Here is a 23,679-nt window from a genome sequence, read left to right as displayed (position 1 = left end):
CAAACAACTGGCTGAACTGATTTTTTTTCCAGTTAAATTAACTGGTTGTCTTGGTGGTTTTGTCATGTTAGGCTGAGTATTGTGAAGTGAGATGGTGGGTTGATCCAATTCAAGGCCATACTTTGGTTGTGCATTTCTAAAAACAAAGTCACTTGATAGGTGTGAAACATCACAATGAAAACTGGGAGCCAATCAGGCAATAGCTTTTTCCAGGCATGTTTGTTGTCCATGAGCTCTTCTAGATGAAGCTCCTTTATTTCTGGGAGAGGAGTAGGAGGAAGCTGAGGAAAGGGATGAGGAAGAGACAGGAAAGAGAGCTGCCCCAGTAAGTGGGGATATTTATTCTTTATCATTGCTAAATGCTCTTGTTACCTTCTGGTGGGTCTAATAATCTCCTAAGAAAATACCACTCTTGTGTCTCTTCTTACTTGGAAGTTCATGAACTCTGTACGAGACAGCCGGTGACCACATGGGGAGTGTTGTGATCTGGGTGTCACGCATACTTTCTAGATGAGGAGTGGGCTCCTCACTAAATCACCAGCCTGATCACCACACACACAACATATGACCAGTTTGTTGGGGGAGGGGGTTGCAGTGCTGCAAAAACCTCACTAATGAGATGGACAAAACTGCACTTCCAAGAACTCCTTTCAGGGAGGTAATTGTATGGGATTGGAAGAAATAATTTGAAAGCCATTTGGAAGTGGATAGGGTGAGACCCCAAAAAGGTTAGGCTGGAATAACAACAGATGGTCCCTAAATGGTCTTCTAAAAAGAGGGCCCGGGCTTTTATTTCTGTGAGTGTGGTAAGCAGGTGGGGACACAGACTCCAGCTCCCTACCCCACACCTGCCTCCATCTTCTCTAAATAAATGTTGACCTAATATCTAAACAATAGCAGTTTGGAGGGGTGCCAAGTCATTATTCTTCCTGATATGCCTATATTTCCCTCTGGTGTTGCACACACACACCTACTCTTACTACACCTCCCACCCCCATGTTGCTGCCTGTCACACACTGATAGCCCCACAAGGCACCTGACGGTTCCTCTGATGCCTCAGGCTAACATATCAGGGAAGGCATTTGAGAATGTTTCATGGTGAACACTGTTAAGAGGCCAGATACAAACTGCCACCTTTAGTGGCCTTCCACCTCAGTTTCCCAGTCACCATTCGTTTGAGTCAAGAGGCTTCCCATGCACAAGGCTTACTGGGCACCTGAATACCCTGGTGATCAGTATATCGATGCGGTAGAGATCTTAATCAAGCAGGTCAGTGCTGTTTTATTCTTTACTATCACTCAAGAGTATGACAATAGTGAGCCTGGAATGTAACCTGGAAAAGAGAACCAGGAGGGAGGGAGGAAAGAAGAGAGAGAGAGAGAGGAAGAGAGAGAGAACCATAGCTTGTCAGCGCTGCACCCCATATTACCGACGGCACCACACTGACAAAGAAGCTTGCACTATGCTGAACGTTAATGTCTGTGCAAGTCCTGAGACAGAGAATTGCAGCCTATCAAACTCTTCCCTTTAGAATCAAGGGAGAAACCTTGGGATGTCTCCTAGAATGTTCTAATGTGGGCTCTTGAGTCACTAAACAGACATTCTCTTCTGGGATGCAGTGGTCAAATATGGAGAACTCAGCTTTCCCAATAGCCAGGTGACCTTAAGCAAATCCTTGAATCTCTTTGGGCCTTTGTTCTCTCAACAGTTAACTCAGGAAGAGTTAGATTCATCTCTAAATCAGTGTTTCCTAAAATTGTTACACAGAACTGCCAGAAAACTAGAAAATTGTTACATGAAAGCTCTACAATGCACGTGAACATATTAAAAGCTCCCAGAAATTCTACAGGGAAGAAACCTATTTAACTTTGTTTGGCCCACTGTTTTGCTTCCCAGTTTATTTGACTGTGGTACATTTTTTTTTTTCGTGGTGTATTAGTCCGTTCTTTCACTGCTATAAAGAAACACCTGAGACTGCATAATTCATAAAGAGGTTTAATTGGCTCACAGTTCTGCAGGCTGCACAGCAAGCATGATGCTGGCATCTGCTCAGCTTCTAGGGAGGCTTCAGGAAACTTACAATCATGGTGGAAGGCAAAGGGGGAGTGAGCACTTTACATGGCCAGAGCAGAAGGAAGGTGGGGGGAGGTGTCACATATTTTTAAACAACCAGATCTCACAAGAACTCACTATCATGACAACAAAGGGCGGATGTTGTTAAATCATGAGAAAACTCCCCCATGATCCAATCTTCCCACCAGGTCCCACCTCCAGCATTGGGGATTACATTTCAACATGAGATTTGGGTGGGGACACAGAGGCAAACCATATCACATGGCTTGTGCACATTTGGAGCAGTACTAGTCTCCATGAAGTCTACATATGGATTCAGCTTTCCTTGTATAGCTTCCACACACATGCATACACACCCACAGACACACACAAATGCTAACACACACGGAGAGAAAAAAGATGACTTGGGACTCTTAGAGGAACAATTTTTCTGTTATCACTGTCCTTTTTACTTTGCTAAGATCTTACCGTGTTAGAGGTGGAAGAGAAAAGAGAGATCCTCCAATGTCTCTGACCCTACCCGTCATTTTAGGCGCATGTAGAGAGAGAACATGATGTGCCAAATGCCACACAACTTGTCAGTGGCAGAGCAGGGATGGGAGTGAGGCTTCTCAACTCTCTTCCCTCTTTTCATGGGAAAAGAAGGTGCCTTTTGGTGGTGCCACCTGCTTTGGACACTCATTCTGGGGTAGATGTAGCTAAAGGTATCTTTCAGTTTTCTGCATGAAGATATAATATCTGGAGTACCTCTGGATATGGGCATTATCAAGATGTCAGTCAGTTTAAGTCCATAAATTTGAACATCTACTCTGTCAGGCGACTTTGTCATCATTAGTAATATAGGAGCAAACGACTAATACAACCTTCAAAGAGTTACAGACATCAACCTTATGAACAAGTAAATACATACGGTAATTTGAGGTACTTACCGTTGATATGAAAAAGTACATGGGGATGTGGTACAGAGGGCTATGAAACAGCCATGGGGAGCATCTAGAGGTGAGCAGAGCAGCTCAGTGAGGGGCAACATGAAGGTGGCTCCATCTACTGAATCTCTAACAGGACTCCAGCACAACAGTCAGAAGCTACCATTTCTAAGTGCTTACTATGTGTCAGGCACTGTACTAAGCCCTGTAGACCATCTGCTCATTTAATTGTTCAGAGTTAGTAAAGAACAAAGCCAGTACTAAAACCAAGTCTGTATGCTTCTAAAACCTAGTATCAGGAGCAAGCTTGTCCCATTTTCCAAAGACAGAAGACGGCACATTGCTCTTTTTTGTGAAGATGCAACACTAGGGTCAAGTGGTTCACAATGTTAACAGTTTCCTCCCAACAATTTAGTCTAAATTTTACTTTTCACTCCATTCCATTACTCTTAGGTCTACCCTCTAGAGACCCTTCTGTTCCCCAATTACACACATAAAATCAATTACATTGTATTATCTGATGCCAGTTGTGTTTATACTGTAGAAGGCAGAAAAGTGTTTTTATGAGTGGAGATTGTTTTTCCATTCTGTTCCTTCCCAGGGGGGATCTAAATACTCTTTTTGAAGTTAGACATTGTGTGTGGTTTTGGAGCTGAGTTGGGAAGAGGATGGATACGCACCACACCTTATTTATTTTCTCTTCTGTGAAACAGTCTCAGCTGTTTTTTTTTCTCACAAATTCAATTTCTTACTCTTGAAGAATGACCCAAGCTGAGAAATTTCCCAAACATCTGAAATCTGAGAATTTGTGCCTGGAATCCATGAGGCTCATGGTTTCCAGATGGAAAGGCCGGAAGAATAGGAGGCGGAGGAGTAGAGGCAGGGTGGAGTGATAAAAGGGAGGGGGAGCCTGAACTTTGGATCACTTCTGACTGCCTTGTGAACTAGGCCAGGTCCCTTATTTGCTCTGCAAGTCTGCCATTTGACAATGGGCCAGGTCTGAAGATAGACAGCAGTTTTGCATGTCCTCATGAGGCTGTTTCAGTGATTATTAGAAGTAAGTCATTGTAAAATTGTCTTTTTCTGAAGGCAGTGACTGAAAGCAAACAAGCCCATGACTTGGCTATTCAGAGGGGCATAAACACTCCAGATGGATTTTCTCATTGTCCCAGAAATGGCAAAAGACAGACCATTCTAGGAATCCTGGCTTCTTTATACCACTTAAACATATGCAATGGCAGATGCCCCGGTGACCTAATTCTTCCACGTCTTGTCCTCATAATAGAGGTAAGAGAAAGAGATTAACAGGAAAGCTTGTTTTGAGTACATAACAGTCAAGTATAATTTGGCCACAAGTGGGCTAGGTATACTCTCAGAGGAATGCCTTTATTTGATCAGACAGGTCAGAATCTTCCAGGGAAAATATTAATTTGGGGAAAATAGATCAGAACCTACTTGTTATCAAATGGGAAATTGGCTTGAGTGTTGAGAAATACCCATTTTTATTGTTATCAGTGGTTTGTCATCCTCCCCACCTGAAACTACCCTACTGACACTCCCTATTGCCCTACTATCACCAAGTCAAAGAGCAATCTTGTTCCTCTATCATAGTTCTTCCTACTTAGAAGCTGAATTTCATACTAGGATACAGCCATCCAACTGGGTCTAAAAGGTCTCATAATGTGTGGAGAGAAACCAAATATAGAAAAGTTACTTCCAATTAACACCTCTAATCTCCAGATGTCCTAATAAAAACAGTGAGGCAACAAATGGCCACCCTCAAGCCAGAGAACCATACTTGGACTCAAATGTTTTTAAGAGCCAGGGAAAGTAGCTAACCTCCTCTTAATTTGATCTCCTGGCCTGGGACATATAAATGTTTAACTACACTCTGGCTTAGGGAGGAAAGCAAGCAGAGGTGAATGTATCCTGTAGTGGCATGGCTTCAACAGAGCATTTGTCTCACCCTGAAATATGAAGGAGCAATGCCTGCCTCCTCAAGCTGAGCAGTGCCCAGAATTTATGAACTTCAAGTATGATGTGAATCTGGGGTCCGAGCCAGGCATTATCATTGGGAAGTGGTGGACAATTTCCCTCTCCCTCCCTCCTCGTTTTCCTACTGCTGATTGTACTGTTCAGAAGTGAATCATGATTTAATCCCCTCTGCTGTTAAGAGTATTACAAAATGCTGGTTACAATGAAGTCACAAAAGTATTTACATAAAAGAAAAAAGACGGACAGAGAATGTTATAGCAAGTGACAAAACTCATCATTACCACCAGCAAAAAGATAGGTATGGAAAAATCCTTGCCTGGGTACCAAATGGGATGCAGCTGATTTAGACCATCTCTATATATAATCAGCGTGGCACATGTTTTTACAGTCATGCAGTGTTGAAAGCAGTGCATCATGGGAGAAAAGATAGTTCTAGTCACATGCATCTGGGTTTTTAAATCTTAGCGTCATCAGATCAGGGCCAGGTTACCCCAGAGTGCTCAATAATCCATGAGAAATGAATCCTATCTTCGTTCCAGGGCTTAGTATTGGCATTACACCATTATTAGATGCAAGCAATTCTTTGATTGATGGCTCCAACATGGATTAAGGTCAAAAGTGGCCCTGGAGACCAAATTCCCTAGTGAGGAACTGCCACATAACTTCATGTGTCTTTTGCTTCTGAATTATTTCTTCTAGAAACCACCAACCACAAGCTGTCACGCTGGTATTATATCTACATAACGTTTATTCTTCTTACAGCAAAGAGCTGGAGAAATACAAGTGAGAACCTGTTATTACAGGTTAAATTGTGTAACACTCAACTTGCGCTGAGGTCCAGTTTCTTTTTATTATGCTCCAATTTTGTTGAATGACTATTGCCTAAAATAAATGGGCAATCGACAGGGGCTTAGAACTAACAGGGATGCTTAAGTGACTTTTATGGTAGCAGTATTTGTTGTAACAGAATTTGATCTGTATTCTAGTTATTAGTTTTATTCATCACATTGGAAAGTTGGCACCTCCACTGTTCATGCCATTATATGCAAAGCACTGTAGCATGAAAGTCACTTACAAAGCTGTGAAAAAAACTCTCTGAACACCAGAGGCTCATGAAACAATAAAAGTCAGCTAGGGGGATATACACTGTTTGATTTAGCTAAATATTCTGGATGGTCAAAGGTTTATTCCTTTTAATTCCTAAAAGTTTTTTTTTTTAACCATTGGGATGTAAATATTTCTAAAATGTTTGATATACATATTTTTGTCTTCTAAGCATAGTTTTTTTATGTATGGTGCACAGGGTCATCATTTTAAATAGAATATTGTCCCATGATACAGTGAGGCTCTTAAAGATTGAGATGTGTATAGACTGTTTTTGACACTAAATAACCCATATATCAGGGCTTTGGAGCTTTGCAGTCTACTCAAAATTTCCATTTTCTCTATTGCTGTCCTCCTTTTTCCTTCTTGTTTCCTCTAAAAGTCTGTTTCTTTCCTTTACAGTTAGAAATATGTGTGAAGGAAGAGCAAATAGGTTCTGAGGAGGTGCCTGATGACTAGATGTATGGCCTTTGTCTTATGCGTTTGCTTCATGGTATTTATTTCAATTGGTTGGAAGCCTTGTTTGCTTACTTCTTAATTCTCAGTCACTTTTGATGGGTTCAGCAGAGGTTCTAGATTTTTCTAGTTCTGTCTCAGTTACTCATTGTCAAACCACTGGTTTAGATTTTGTGTTCAGGAAATAGGGATAGGTAAAGCTATCAGGTGGCTAAGCCCTAGGTAAATGAGTTGCCATGAATCCTAAAATATTGTGAAGGTTGTGGGCCATTTTTATAAGGCAAATGGTATGCTGTGGCCGTGACAGCTGAACTCAGTAAGTGAACTTTAAAACAGATAAGCTCCTTTTGCTGTTGTCCCTTTCCAAGAATATGAAGCTGGCCTGACGTCAAGCTGTTGGAGAGCCTTCAACATGTTTAATTAAATCACAGACTCAGTGTCAGAGCTGGCTGACTTTCAGGATTCTAACGCTATAGCAAAAGAAGACATGGTTTTGCCTCTCGTTGATTTTCTTATTTATGGCCTTGGAATAAAGAAGATAAAGCAAGTCTAACAGTTCTCCCTTCCAAAAGTACAGTTTCAGGCCAGAAGATTTGACTGCTACCCTTAGACTTTCTTTCCCTCACTGTACATTGCATTTTACAGGCTATACAAAGCAAGACCTTCTTTGCAAAAGGCAAACTCCTTTGCCCCAAGGCCATACTGTACATGTGTGGGGGTAGTTGTAGGGGGATCAGTGTTGTTATTCACCAATACAAGATGGAATCAGTGCAGCTAGGAGAGAAGAGATTAAGGAAAGAGGCTGTGAAGTCTGCTAGACCTGGGTTTAAATTCTGGCTTCCCGCTTATTAGGGTGTAACCGTGGTCACAGTACTTAATTCTCTAAATTTGATTCCTGAGCAACAAAGTGGGGAATGATAGTATTGGTGCTGTTACTATTATGATAATGTGAAAAACAACAGGAGAGTACCTGGCCCAGAGAAAGAGCTAAGTGACAGCTCTTATTAACATAAATGAATGATTTAAACCTGGAGATTACAATAGTTAACAAGCACAGACACTTAGTGCAGTCTGTTACTGACTTCAAGCAGTCTTTTGCTTTTGTTTCTATTTCTGTGACATCTTCTCTTATTACGACTTTCTGTTGGGTGTCTCTAACTCTGGTGCCTTGTGAAGGCCAGGAGATATTCCAGACAAGCTGAAATTCTACCTTTTTATGAGTATAAAGGAAATGGGGCCATGTTGGACCAAACAAAGAGTAATAAAATAAAATATAGAGTTGTAGCTTTCAGAGGGAAAGATAAAACAAGAAAGGGCTGGGGCAATGGATGTGGTGTTGAGATACTGGCACCAGGAAGCAGGGAAGAAAACCTCCAAACACATTGTGGTTTGTTAAAACACTGAAGACTCCTAAGTGCTACAGTGGCAGGCAGTGCCACCCCACCAGGCAGCAGTGTCCTCCGCAACTGGGGAAGAGGAAGTAGGGCCTAATGATTGCTCTCGGAGACAGAGAGTCTGCTGTCCTGGGCTTTACCAGCCTGGCTTGTTGGGTGACCTTGAGTGACTTATCTCCCTCTCTTGGACAATTTTCTCAAGGTTCTCACACAGTCCCTAGCTAACTAAAAGGGTCTGATGAAGATAAATGTGTTAAAAGAAAATTTAGAGGAGAGTCCACAAACTGTCCCTCCAGATACACCTGCTGGTGGGTTTTAGGATTTTTAAACATTAAATTTTAATGCATTTAGGCAGGGCTTGGTATTTTCTAATTCACACAGTATCTACCATCTTGAGTCTTCACATTTGGCTCCTGAAGGCCTCTGAGTATATGACTTCTGATTTCAATGCAACCTCTGGTCCTTCAAACCAGCTTGGAATTGCTTCATTTACAACTCATTCTATGTTTTCATCAATTACATGCAAATATGTATTTCTAAAGTTTCACAAAACAAAGATTTTGTTGGCCTAACTGTAATTTGCTCTAAAAGACATTTTTTTTTCTAGAAAATATGGCAAAAATTACAATTTTACCTTCCTTCTAGTTCATCCAAATTCTAAAACTTTAATGTTATTTGAAAACATAATTTGGCACCAAGTATTCTTTAGGTTATAATCTAAGTTGCTCATAAAATGTAATCTAGGCCTGGATCATTTTACTTTGAGGAGAAAACTTATCACTAAATAATAATGATCTTAAGTCTGTTCTTTTGCCACTTCCCAGAGCTCTCTCCTAAGGCACTGTGGAAAAGTCAGGAGTAAATTAGACTCCCACATCTAGTAACCAAAACACCATCATCTCCAGCATTACCACAGTCAAGTATGCAGCTCGTCATAAATATTTACACCTTGCAGGGTCCTTTGTGCACAACTCTGAGAGACAAATGGCATTTCCAGTAATAGTTTATTGATTTCCAAATGCACAGGGGCACCAAGTCCGAACATCCTGGGATAGCAGTAAATCTCTCTTACAAAATAATTTACAGTATGAAAATGATATACTGAAACATTAACCCAAACGTGTAATTCCCTTGAAAGATTCAGTGTTCCCTTGTTTAATGTAAAGGGTGGAAGGGGAAGATTCCTAAGGAGGGAATGTGACTGTGCACAGGAAAATAGGCAGAGGACAATGGATTCATTGGTTCTCCCCATTCATGCAGTGTGGCCTGTCACTGTAGAAAGACTGGTCAGGTTTAACCCTCATTAAGTATTAATCTGCTGTCCCCTCAAAGTCATATCAAGCCCAGTATGGGCTCCGTGGCTTTTTTTGCACCAATGTATCCATAAGTGTCTCCACTTATTTTCATTTTTCTGCTCTGGCCCTCGTTCTGCTGTTTCTGGTATGTTCTCAGTTCCAAATTATACTATCTTATCTTACCAGGCAGGCCTCCAGAATCAAGAACTGCCTGAGTCTTATGGTTTCTGGAATGGGACAGGGTAGGGGGCTTCATAAGCACTGCTGGATAAAGGCAATAATAATGAGACTGAAGTCTCCCATATGGGCCTTCTTTTTCTCTTAGAGCTGGGCTGGACTCAATCCATAATGAGATTTTTTTAAACATAAAAATCTGATGTGATCAGCACACAGTAAACGTGCAGTTAATTTTCTTATTGAGAAGCATGTATTGCACAGCCATTATATGAATGTGGAATTTCAGGAATGGCAAGAGAATATTTTCTACTTGGGGAGAGAGGACTTCCTAGACCCTGCCACAACTACAAGGTCATGAATTCTGCATTTGTGCCCTTAGGTCTAACTGGAGTAGTTAGACTCTCAGGTCACCAAAATGGCTGGGCATCCAAGTTTCCCATCTTATTAGACATCCTGGAGGAGGGCTGGAGTGCAATTTCCTTCAGGGCTGTCACTTTGACTCAGTGCCTTAGGAGCTAATGACCTTTGCTAGGGAATTGCTCTTCCTGTAAGCAAGTACCTAAGCCCCAACTATATGGTGACACTTGTAATTAGGGCTGACAGAAATCTTTGAAGTAGTACGCAAGATAATGAAGGGGCTGCTTTGAGTTTTCCTTAGCTCTCAAATATTGTGTGTGTGTGTGCGGACATGTATGTATGTATATACATATACACACATATCACACTTGTCCTTTATATATAGGTACACACTCCCCCGACACACACACTAAAACCAGGAATCAGTAAGAGAGTCCAGATTCACTGGACTTTGAATTGCCACATCCTCACAGAGTACACTGGCGGCTAAGTTTACTAAAATATGAAGATTTCCTTTTCTACAGGAGTGAAGCTGCAGACATTTTCAAATAAAGTTGAGTAGAGAGCAGAACACCCTTCACTTTTACTACTGCTGCAAAGTTCTATATCTTTGAAGGCCAAGAAACACCTTATTTATGGAAGATGGCATGAAAAAGGAAATGTTCTCCTAACTCCTGGGGGTGGGCTCAAGTCAGCAATGTGTACTTAAAGCATCTGCTAAAGGGGAGAAATAAGGCTACCTCAATGCCATTTCTGAGCCCTAACTATAACTGTGAAATGTCATTTTGAAGAAGATTCATAAATTGGGATGGTCAGCACACAGTGGGAAAACCTGAAGTCTTTTTATCCTTCTGTTTTTAGGTGGACCATGGTGTGTGGTACAAAGTGCCTGTCCACAGAATTAGGGGGAGCTGCGTTCAAGATTTGGCTTGAGTATTTCCTAGCTGTATAACTTGAAGCAAATGACTCTTCCACTCCCCATCTGTTTTATTATCTAAGAGACAGCTCAGGGCCTGGCTCATAGTTGTTCCTTAATACAAGTTATTTCCCTTCTTGGGCTGTCAGAGCCGAGACTCCAAGCACTTCTTGGGACTGTCCTGGATTTAATGATATCAAATCAAAGTCCCTCTCAGCATCCAGAAATTCAACATTTGAAAGATAGCCAGAAATTGCTATGAGTATCCGACTGATTCTGGAAACATTCATTACCTGCCTCCCTTGGTGACTTCTCTTTAGGGGTTTCAGCAAACCCTGCCACCTGCACCCAGGCAAGACCCAATTCTGAGCTCTCTAACTTTTACTGACCTGGCAGGAGGGAAGCCTCATCATGCTGGGGCTTAAGGCCAAGCAGCATGCTCCAGCTCTAGGGGAAGGTAGTGCCACTGCAGGAAGCATCCTAGTTCTTACATTGATAAATGCTGCCGGCAGGAACTTAGAAGCCTGGGCAAAAGCTGCTGCACTGTGTTTAATGCTTCCCTGGTTAAAGTTTTATCAGGTACTGAAGACAGCAGGAGTCTATAAAGCAAATCTGAAACGCTTTCTAAGTAAAAGCAAAAGTGCTTTCCTTGAGGATCACAGAGATATGATAAGTTACTGAGACAGGTTGGCAAATATTTTTATATTTCCATTTATATCCACTGCATAAATGCTTGAATTTCCCAAATACTGATTCAAAGTAGTAACATATGATCAGATATGGAGAACCAATGATCTGTCTATTGCTAATATAAGGCTACTATTTGGAGATCAAACAATGATTATTGGGGAAAGACAATACAAGCTTCCAAATCCTAAAATCTTTTTAATCTTCTGATACTTAAATTTTTTCGAGAGTGGCCACTGGTCCTTCTTTTAGGGTACTTTTGTTGGATATGATTGGTGGTTGTAATTAATGGTATGCCAAATTCTCCAGTCTTTGCAGAGATAGGTAAAGCACCAAAATTGTCCTAGCCATTTCTTGGCCATCAGTTTGAGAGAAAAATGCTTTTTTTTTTTTTTTTTTAACACCTCAAACTCCCCTCAGCCCCAATATCCTGGCATCTTTAGTGAGTCAGGACAATCCTAACCTAGAAGCATATATGCCTGGGAGCTTCCTGGCCTCAAAGGAATAAATCTTTTCACAGCATTCACAGGACTGAAAAATAATATAAATAGGATTCCTACAGTAAACAAGTATTGTTTCTGTTTCAAAACCATCCTGCAAGCATAACAATCAGCTGGTCCTAAAGCCTGTAATACGTACACAGGTCACAGGCAGACAGGCAGGCAGGAAAAGGGATTTCCCCCAGTGCAGGCTCCTTTGGTTCTGCCTCAGAGGCACTAGAAGTCTAGGCCCTGGGTTAACAGCAACCCAGAGTCTGCTTGGATATGGTTCTAGTTGTATGCTTCGTAAGTGAACACCAAAATACCATAAAGGTAGAGGAGAGTGAACACATAACCCACTTGCAAATAAGAATTACCTTGCAAGATTCCTATTTTTTTATCTTAACAGTCTATGCGTATGAACATTTTATTCTATAATATAACTTTTATATAAAAATAGGTCATCTTATGACTCTAAACCATTTGGTAAGTAAAACTGATGCTTCAAGAAGATGCAGGTTTTTAAGTTTGCAGTTTTACATTCCCCTAGTACATCCCTGCTTACTCGGGAGCACAAAGCTTGGTTGTAAGAAATTGTGATTTGGAAGTAGAGAAAAGCAAGGAAGTCCAACCTCAGGAGTGTCTCTGTTACTAAGAGGAGAGTGAGATCCAGGGTGTGGGAGATGATCTGAAGGTCTATGGGTGGGGAGTGCCACAGGAAGAAGGGTTCTGGTCGGAGTTAAAGGAGGATATATCTATATGCTGGGAGATGAGCTGAATTCAGAACACATGGAATGGGAACAATTCTCCCCATACTGCGTTTAAGCCAAATTAGGCTAAAATGGGGGTGGGACTAGCAAAAACCTACAATGGAAATTCCCATTTGGTAATATACATTCCAGCCCTTCACGTTGTGACAAGCCCATAAAACCTGCAGAATTCACCCAAATAATTCTGGTTCTATTAGATCCTTTACTGACTATTTTGGAAATTCAAGCAATTTGAATTCAGAAATACTGATTTCAACTTTTAATCAGACTTCTTTGGTCCTTTTTTTTCCCCCTAAGGTCATTTCCGTTCCACCTCTTCAATCATTTTTTTCATTTCCACAGCACTGAATTATGAATATCAAGTCCTGGATAACTTCATATACTAAAAATATCTCTTCCTCATCTTTAACTCTTTCTCCAACACCTTTTTCCAGTCATCCATCTTAATTCATGGCACCACAATTTTCACAAATGTAGAACTGGACTTTTAGGGACTGTCCACAAGAGTTAATTTGGCCCTACCTTGCTCTCATTTATTTCATGCTTCAATATGAACAAAATTGGGTTTTTGTTAATAGGCAGGGAGAAAACTCTGACTTCCCTTCAAGATTATTCCAGATCCTTCCTAACAAAGCGATACTGTTTGGTAATACAATATTATGGGGGCTGGCTTTCCTGAGTAAGTTCAAAGCAGCCATTGAGGGATTACCTGAAGGACCTTTCTTAATTGCTCCTGGTGGATCAAAGGGGCTCTTTTCCTTGACCTACCACAACCAGGGGATGAGAAGCACACAGTAAGCATAAAACTGGTCATCCCTTGGAGAGATATGTGCCTGCTGTGGATCTGGGGACACATCTGGTGGAAGTACGTTTGTTGCTGAGCAGCTTTCACAGAAATCAGAAGCCGTTACATACACGCTGTCACATACACACAAGGGGAGGGGATGATTTTCCACTGGGGGTAGCAAGCCTTCATGTGTCCTCTTCTTCACTGGCACCACTACAAAGGAAAAGGAGAACCAGGTGAGTTAAGATATCACAAGAAGGGAGGCAGCCTAGTCTACTGGTTGATAGCACAGACTTTATGTCAGACATACCTGGAATTAAGTCTTAACTACCATGATTGAGCAATATGGCCAAAGGCAAGTTACTTCGTTTCTCTAAATTCTGATTTCTTTATCTGGCCATAGGGGGAATGATGATAAAACTTACTTTCTTGAGTTACTAGAGGATTAAATAAGAGAATACATATAAAATGCACAGTACCTGGTATACAGTACGTGAGCAGCTATTTAAAGGAGCAGGTGAGAGTCATAATTCTTTTAAACTTAACTGACAAAATAAATTGCTGGTAAAAATCAGGTGTATGATTTCCTCTAAGCCTTAAGCCATCTACTGTTAGGAGAGAAAAAACAAGGAGAAGCTACTACCATCTGCACTCTCAATGGCACTCTGCACTTGGAAAAAAAATCCAAGATTTCAACTCATGCCATAGGGACATATGCCACCTCGTCAGAGAAGGTACTCTACTAAGTAGGACTCCCTGGTGATTCTCTATCTTATGTCTGTCATAGGCCTTATCACATTACATAATTTATTTGTTTACGATTTACTCTTCTCTCTACCCATGACTACAGCATATAAGAATAGCAACACTTTATTAACTATGTATATCTAGCACTAGCACTGGGCTGGGCACATAGAGGTGCTCAATAAATAATTGGTTTTTAAAAGGAAGTGAAATACAAACAACAGGAAGAAAGGGAGGGAGGGATGGACACAGTTGAAGGGACTGGTCAGTCATTACTGCCCTGGCCAGGTTATTCCAGATGTTAGTGATGTTTCAGTGGTCAAATAGTTGTCAAGTCCCTCAGGCATGGCTAGTACCTCAGCTGCTCAGAGTTACAGCCCCTCTGGCTTGGACCTGGGAGAGAACACTGTTGGTACAGGGACTGGGGCAAGGAGAAGGTAGAGCCTGAAAATGCAGGAATGAGCACACTCAGAAAAGCAAACGTAGCAAACTTGCCTAGTTTCTCCCCATCCTCTTCTATAGGTCACTGCCCTTAAAATAGTAACAAGAGCCAGCTTGAGCAAGTGCTTACTGTGGACCGGGGCACTGAATTACGTGTTACTCACCCATTCTTCCTATTATGTAGGGGCTATTATTATCCCCCGTTTTCCAGATGAAAAAAGTGAAGCTCTAAGAGATGTAAAATCCTAGGGTCACATAGTAAGGTCTGTGTCCTTAAAACTCAAGGTTTAGTTTCAGTTGGATAAAGTCTGAAGTGGTCAAGCTGGTAGAAAAGGAAAAGGCCTGTAGAACATCAGCTCCCAGCTATTACCTAGAAATTTTTCATCTCACAAGGGATTATCTATGTCTATATAAAACCTGTGCTCTTTTGCATCCATCTGGGAAAGACTTTAAGGGAAAATATCCTAGGCAGCAAATTTCTAGAACTTCCACTAAGGGCAGAAACATTTCAAGAAACAGGTCCTGCAAGTTAAGTGTATGCTAGGAGCCAAAAGAACCAACTCAATAATCTTCACCATTCCAAACTCTGCCCTGTTTCCACTCCCCTTTCCTGCTGGTTATACAATCATGGGATGAAGGGTGCATGCTGGAAATGCTGGACAGTGGGCTGTCATTAAGAAGCAGTATTTAATGGCATCTGTCCCAAAGGGAACACAGGGTCTTTTATGAAAGCTTCTCACCAGAATCAAGGCAGAGCTGGAACTGGCGTCATATTCTCCCCCTTTGGTATTACATCCAAAGCAAGCTCTCATTGTTCTCTTGTCAGTTTTATTTCAAATATGAGGGCAGCATGGTGACTCTGCCCTAAGCTGCAGTTCACTTTTTAGCATTCTTAACGTGAGACATAGTTTAAACGTTCATGGACCTAATGAAATTGTATACAGAATTTTATCTGTGTGTTCCTTTGTCTGAGAGAAGACATACTTTTCATCATATTTTCAAAGAAGTCAACAACTCTCTTGCCAAATTGGGAATAACCAAATTATAAATAAACTCTTTTTGGTTGCCAGGTTCTTTACTATAATATTTGGAGAGTGGCTTGGGGAAAAGGTCTGAAGTCTGAACTGATAAAATCTTTTCTCGTTAACCTAAAAGAGACGTGTTCTTGGGCCTGAAATTTATCTCACAGTTTAAAACATGAGATCTTAGGATACTGGCATATCATTTATTGATTACTTCATTTGCTAAATATTTGTTGACTGTCAACCATGTGTAAGTCATGATGCTAGAAACAAAAATGAATAAGATGAACACGGGAGTTGCCCTCTAGGACTTTAAAGCCTAGTAGGTGAGATACAGGCTCAGGGGAGGGAGGAAGAACCTTTTTTTTTTTTTTTTCTTCCCAGAACAGTACCTTCAAAGAAAGCATCTTATTTTTATAATAACCCACTTCTCACAATAATGAAAAAGAAAAGGGATCATAACTGAATCTATAACACAGAGCTTTGCTCAGCTTGTATGTCGTCTCTCCTGGAGGGTTCAACAATATAATTAGTGTGAGGCATCATCTCCTCTCCTGAATGTTCTTGCTTCACTTTGTATATAAACTTTGTATATAAGCTCATCTATGTTCATGAGGTTATCTCATTTTATTTATTTATATTTGAGATGGAGTCTTGCTCTATCACCCAGGCTGGAGTGCATCAGTGCGATCTTCGCTCACTGTAATCTCCGCCTCCCGGGTTCAAGCGATTCTCCTGCCTCAGCCTCCTGAGTAGCTGGGATTACAGGTGCATGCCACCATGCCCAGCTAATTTTTGTATTTTTAGTAGAGCTGGAGTTTCACCACGTTGGCCTTGAACTCCTGACCTTGTGATTCCGCCTGCCCCAGTCTCCCAAAGTGCTGGATTACAGGCATGAGCCACCATGCCTGACTGTTCATGAGATTTTTATCTTAGTCTATAAAAGTCTTCACTTTCTGCAAGGGAAGTAATACAGCCTTCTACCTCAGCCACTTATCATGCTCCTCTGAAACACCTGCCAGTCACACTTAGACTTACAACTGGAGTGGGACTCAGAGGTTAATGGCTGTTTCATTTTTTTTTTTTTTTTTAAATAAACTAAGGGTGTTAGGCAGACAGCACGTTCTATAGCAGGTACTTACCAATGAGAGAGGCAGCATTACATAATTACTTTTGTGTCACCAGACTGAACTAGGTTCAAATGCCTGTTATTAACTAATAAACTGTGGGATCTTACGTAAGTCACTAACATCTCTGAATCTCAGTTTCCTCATCGAAATGCTATCTTCCAGGGTTACTGTGAAAGCTTTATGTATTTTATGCAATACAAATGATAAAAAATGTTACCCTTCTTCCTCAACCCACCTTCCTTCTTATCCTGAATAAAAACCTGCCTCCTCCTGCCTTTCCCTCAAATGTTCCTAGCTCTGGCAGCTGAAACATTACATTCCAGAACAAGTGTGTTCCTATCCCCAAATACCCTTCAAATATCTGGAGAGCAACAGTATCCTGCTTTGCTCACTTGGAGAGTTTTTTAAATGACAACCCAGACCTAATGAAATACAGGTACTAACTAGAAAGGCTGAGTATCACTCTGACCCTTCTAGGTGGCAGGTCTCAAGAAAAGTCATGCCTGCCAAACACTGGGGAGAACAAATACGGAGTGAAGTTTAGTTAACCGGCCTTAGCTCGGTCACTGATCTAGTTTGAGGGTACTGCTGTATCTAAAAGTGGTGGCCTTAAAACTGGGGTATGGATACCCTTGTGGTATGTAATTACTTTCCAGGAAGTATTTGGGCCTGGGTAGTTTTAAGAAAATTAATGTCCAAATCCTTAACTTCCATATATACTGCTTCCTAAAACTTACCTTCTCAGAAACATGCCTGTGCTCTGTAAGGTTCTTGTTTCAGCCACTCCCACTTTACAGATCACCATACTCCCACACTTCCGCAGAAATGCTACTCTCACTCACCCTTCTGAATCTTAGCATGTAACAATTTTAGAATGTCTCCCTTAGAGGAGTCCTATGAGAGAACCGCAAGCAATAGTAAAGGAGACAATCTCTTTTTTCATTCAGGCAGGAAACTCTTGGCAAGGCTGTGTGTTTTATCTATCTATCCATCGATCTAACACTTCAAATTCAAAAGTGAGGTGGTTATCATGAGGTGTGTGCTAATGTTTATTTGTATTGAAAAAAATGAAATCAGACTTAATCTGACAGAAAGCAAGTCTGATTTGGCTGGATGGTTTGACCACCAAAATTGGCTTTGCCAATTAGATTATATAGTGCACCTTTGCTTGTAAATTTAATAAGCTAAATTCACAGTGCCAAAGTTTTGACAAAAATATATATAAAAACTCATATAAACTACACAATATGTCAGTGAGCACACCCTTAGCAACGATTTACACTTGATACTATGATTTCAGGAATTAATTTAAAAACGGGCAAAAAGGCACATACTTTTAAAATTTCTTTTAGGGGATGTAAAACAAAAAAGTTTAGCTAAAGGAACTGGGAGCTCCTAAATTCTGACCAGGAGGATGGTGTGAAATTTAACACTTTCTTGGTTGTGGGTAGGGGATGGGGTGACAGAATGAGACTAAGGCATTCCAGTAAGCAGAATGCTGTATCCCTTCTCTGAGTTGGGCTTACTGTCTGATGTGGTGCCTGTGAAACTGAAATGTCAGAGGCATGCCATAAGCTCCACATTCAGACCCTAAACACCTGCTGATAAAATGATTATATTTTATCATAATCATTTTACAGTGTTTCACTGTGACCATTTTTTAGTTAGGCTGCATATATAGGCAGCTTAGCTTTTTGGCTTCTGTCCCCAGAGCTTTAGGGGCATAAAGGGGAAGTTAATAAATCAGGTAGCAGGCATTCTGACTTTGCAAGTTTAATAGTTTCTTTTCCTAAGCATATAGTACAACTTAATGTGACTTGGCATCACTCATGTCTTCTGAGTTCTTGGTTATCTATTAATTGATTATTGCTGTAAAAGGATTATTTAACTCAGGAGGATGGTGGAATTAAGAGGTATTGACAAGGAACGAAGGCTAGAGTCAGCTGAAATTCAAAAAGATAGATTTAATATTCTCCAAAAATTACACTGCCTGGGCATTGTACAAGGAGCCAATTGGGAAGTCTCACACTTTCAGTATCTGAGGAAGTGGTTGCCTAGTTGCAGTAAATATGCGATCAGCACTGCTGGGGAGACAGACTAAACACTCGGATCCAGGGACCTTTCTTTACTAGACAGAGCGAGTTGCCTTCTTTGTCCCCTCTGTCCCACACTCACCTGCCCCAACAGCCTGAGCTGAAAATAAGGAGGTTACTGTGCTTTAAGGGATCTGAACTTTACAAAATAAAGTAAAATGTCCTTGGTCTATTTTGGGCTAACTGAGAAAAACATGATGAAAATACCAGAGTTCTAGTCCTGGTTCTGCTGTGTGACTCTAGGACCCAGTATCCTTATCTGGGAAATTAGGATGCCTTGCATTTTAAGCAAAGTTTAGGAAAACTCCAAACCAGACAAAAACTAAGAAAGCTTCCCTCCAACATATAGACTTGCTGAGCTAATTAATTTGCTCTCATTCATACAGCTGTCTCTCTTTGCTTCCTGTGCCCCTCTCTATCCCATCACCACAATCTGAAGGATGGCCTAAATGTTCCAAGTCCTTTCACCTCTTTCTGGCTGGGCCCAAATACTGGGTTGATGCCCGGTACTGAGAGGTGAAGCCAGCTGGACCTCCTGGGTCGAGTGGGAAGTTGGAGAACTTTTCTGTGTCTAGCTAAAGGATTGTAAATGCACCAATCAGCATTCTGTAAAAACGCACCAATCAGTGCTCTGTGTCTAGCTAAAGGATTGTAAACACACCAATCAGCACTCTGTAAAAATGCACGAATCAGTGCTCTGTGTCTAGCTAAAGGACTGTAAGCACAACAATCAGCAGGATGTGGGTGGGGCCAAATAAGGGAATAAAAGCTGGCCACCTGAGCCAGCAGCAGCAACCCACTCGGGTCCCCTTCCACAGCATGGAAGCTTTGTTCTTTCGCTCTTCATAATAAATCTTGCTGCTCGCTCACTCTTTGGGTCTGTACCACCTTTAAGAGCTGTAACACTCGCCGTGAAGGTCCGTGGCTTCATTCCTGAAGTCAGCAAGACCACAAACCCACTGGAAGGAAGAAACTCCGGACACATCTGAACATCTGAAGGAACAAACTCTGGACACGCCACCTTTAAGAGCTGTAACACTCACCGCGAAGGTCCGCGGCTTCATTCTTGAAAGTCAGCGAGATCAAGAACCCACTGGAAGGAATAAATTCCAGACACAGTACTGCCTGATCATTACCTAGTGCAGACCCAAGAGTAAGCTCTGCCATGAGCAAAAGTCCCATGATTCTTTATTTCATCATGGGTCTTAAAAAAAGTTTGACTTCGCTCTAGCCTCACTGCAATTCCTTCTTAAACCACAAGGAGAAGGGCTCTTCTCTCTCTAGTTCTGGTTCTATTTTATCCTATGAGCCTTCTCTCTTTCAGTAATGGCCACTATTCACAGAGGGCTTACTCAATGTTCCACAAACTGTGCTAAGACATCTATATACATAAACTCACCGATAGCTTCTGGTATTATCTCCATTCTACAGATGAGAAAAATGAGGCCCAGAGAGGCTGCAAGACCTGCTTAAGGTACACGACTTGTAAATAATAGAACTAGGTTAAGCAATCAGACTCTAGAACCCCCAGAAATGAACTGAACTTGGGTAAGAGATGAGCCTGTCTTTTCTGAAGTTTTCTGAGGCAAAATGTTTTCACCTGAAAAAATGGGATATTAACACCTACCATGAAGAGATGGAAGATACAAGCACGTGCTTTTTTAAGATGAAAAAATGCCAGAGATGAGTAGGATTACTATAGAAGAAGAAGAAATACAGACCTGAGTTTGTCTCAGCCCTCACAGCTGACTCTGTCTCTCCAGACCTATTTAGGGACCTCTGAGAGAGCCTTGGGTCTCCAGCATGACCTCAGGCCCACACTCTGACCACAGTGCCAAGTTTGAATTGATCTCCATGTACCTTGCAGCCTATTTACTGTTTTTATAGGTAGCTACCTTTCTTGCACTTGGCAGAACCTGTGTGGGGATGGCCTACTTCTATGGAAGATTAAAAGGAGCCAGCAGGCCTGCCCAGGCAGTGCCCTGCAATAGGGAGGTGACTGAACGGAAGTAACAGGCAGGCTTGTAGGTTGCCAGTGTCCCATCTGCTCTCAGAATTCCCTTCTTTAGGACTGAGTCCTTTACTGCTGCTGGATTTAGAATAGAATCATTTACAGCCTTATTTTTTTAATTCAAAGAGTAACTTTTTCTTTTTTGTTGCTTTTTACTTTCTGTAACACACAAGTATTGGTTCCATAAAAAAGAAAAAAAATTCCATTATGTTACCACCACAGATAATCACCATTATCACAGTGAAATATATTTCCCCATACACCTTCTATACATATATAAAAATAAGTTATCTTTTATAAAATCAGCTCATACTTGACAGTCTCCTTCACAGTCTGCTTTTTCCACTCAGTTATCAATCATGAATGTCATATCAAGAAATATATTTCTGTAAGATTATGATCATGATTGATTTGTATGGATTTATCATACCTAATATTGGGCATTTAAATTATTTCTACCTTTTCACTATTACCCACATCTCTGTGACACACATCATTGTGGATGAATCATCCTTAGTTATTTCCAAAGAAAAATTCCCAGGAGTTTCCTCCTGGGTCCAAAGGCATGTTTGCATTTGTTTTATAAGCTTTAATTTTTAGAACAGCTTTAGATTTACCAAAAAATTGCAAAGATAGTACAGAGGATTCCCATACTTAGTCTCCCCTACTATGAACATCATACATTAGCATGGTATATTTGTTGCCAATGAACTATGAAAGGAAAATAAATCTCGGGACCCCAAAATCACTAAGCCAAAGGGAAAAGTCAAGCTGGGAACCGCGATCAGCAAACTTGTCCCCCATTCTGTTCCTAAATAAGATGGCTACAAAGATAAAAAAGCTACATACTGCCCTCACAAAGGACAGACAACAAAGTCATCCCTCTGCTCACGTGAGACAAATGCATATCCAATTGCTTCCTTTGATTCAGTGGAAAGCTAATCAGAAACTCAAAAGAATGCAACCATTTGTCCTTTATCTACTTATGACCTGGAAGCTGCCTCCCCACTTCAAGTTGTCCTGCCTTTCTGGACCGAACCAATGTATATCTTACATATATTGATTGAAGTCTCATGTCTCCCTAAAATGTATGAAACCATGCTGTGCCCCGACCACCTTGGGGACATGTCATCAGGACCTTCTGAGGCTGTGTCATGGGTGTGTCCTTAACCTTGGCAAAATAAACTTTTTAAATTGACTGAGACCTGTCTCAGATATTTGAGGTTCACAGAACCAATACTGATACCTTCATACTAAAGTTCATATTTTGAGATTTCCTTAGTTTTTCCCTAAAGTCCCTTTCCTGCTCCAGATTTCACTCAGAATACCACATTTCATCATTAAGTTTCCATAGGCTCCTCTCGGCTCTGACAGTTTCTCAGACTTTTCTTGTTTGTGATGGTGAGGACGGTTTTGAGGGGTGCTGATCAGGTATTTTGCAGAATGTCCCTCAATCGGAAGCTGTCTGATGTTTTTCTCACAATTAGCCCATGGTTATGGGCTTTTGGAAGGAAAATTACAGAGGTAAAGTGCCATTATCATTACATCATATCAAGGGTTGATACTATCAATATGACAGCACTGTTGAAGGTGGCCTTGACCACCTGGCTGAGGTAGTGCTTGTCATGTTTTTCTATGGTATGGCTACTCTTTTTTCCCATTCCCACAGTGTATTCTCTGGAAGGAAGTCACTACGAGCCACCTATACTTAAAGAGTGAGGAGTTACGTTCCCTCTCCTTGAGGGTGAAATATCTACATACATTATGTGGAATACTTTCAAACATGAGCTTTGTCTCTTCTCCTTCATTTATTTATTTGATCATTTATATCAGAATGGACTCATGGATGTTTATTTTATTCTTTGGGTTATAATCCAATATTACTATTTTGTTGCTCAAACTGCTCAGCTTTGGCCTTTGAGTGCTCTGTTAGTTGGGTCCTATGTTCCATTGACATATCCCCATCAATAACGGTTTTCTGGTTTTTTGTTTTGTTTTTGTTTTTGAGCACTTCCCTACTTTCTAGCACTACACAGCCTTCAGGCTTAGCTATTTCCTCCCCAGACCTAAAATCAGATATTCTGCAAAGAACACAAGAGATATGGTTTTAGAGGCATTTGATACTACCCTCCAGAAATCTTATATTGATTTACAATCATTACTCACATCGGCACAGGAATGCCCATTTTCCCCACACCCTTGCCAATAACGGGGCAATTTCAAAGTGTCTGCAGGGAGATGACCTGGCATGGGATACAGTGTGTGCATATATATGCATGTATGGGTCTATCTGTTCCATCTCTTTAAAATAACTTCTACATTACTCAGTTTCCTGTTGAACTTCAAGAGAAAAATGCCCTGGGGCCAGTTAAGTTTTTCCTTTTCTTTGCCTTTACATTGGCCTTCCCCAGCTTCCCTTTCCTCCCCCCAGTGCTGCTGGATTTTCTATCACTGGCGATCTCCTGTGATGAGGTCTGAAAGGAACCTTTCCTATACCCTCTACTAGGGCCCAGGCAATTTCAGGGGGTGGAGAGTTAGAAGCAGAAATTAGCCCAAGGACTTGCCTTCCCTGCTTCCTGTACCTTCAGGAAATCCACCTGACCCAGTTTCCTCATCTTCTTTTGGCATGTGTATAATGGAAACCAAATCTCTCTCAAGCAGTTTCCTTCCATAGAAATCTTAAACATAAGATTTAATAAAATGCTGGACTTCAAATTTCCTGTTGCCTCAGCTGCTGTATCTCACAAGTTACCAAAGAGAAAAAGAGAAAGGATCAATAAATAAATATACTTGACACTTATCTCTAATCTCTGTCTGAATAG

The 23,679-nt window shown here is 41.1% G+C and overlaps 1 protein-coding gene across 2 annotated transcripts in view; it reads right to left on the bottom strand.

Annotated features, from left to right (window-relative positions):
* Nucleotides 1–1,979: 1,979 nt before the first annotated feature.
* The window catches only part of TRIM44 (tripartite motif containing 44), a 155,233-nt gene continuing 133,533 nt past the window's right edge, over nucleotides 1,980–23,679 (bottom strand). For both annotated transcript variants that reach the window (NM_017583.6, XM_006718254.2), the window contains one exon: nucleotides 1,980–13,629. In NM_017583.6, coding sequence (NP_060053.2) covers nucleotides 13,602–13,629 — 28 coding nt within the window. In that variant the 3' untranslated portion in view covers nucleotides 1,980–13,601. The remainder of the gene's footprint in view (nucleotides 13,630–23,679) is intronic.

The sequence above is a fragment of the Homo sapiens genome, chromosome 11, assembly GCF_000001405.40.
Source record: "Homo sapiens chromosome 11, GRCh38.p14 Primary Assembly".
In the NCBI taxonomy this organism is placed as follows: domain Eukaryota; kingdom Metazoa; phylum Chordata; class Mammalia; order Primates; family Hominidae; genus Homo; species Homo sapiens.
The sequence above is the reverse complement of the archived record's forward strand: the minus strand, read 5'-3'. Positions and strand labels throughout refer to the sequence as shown.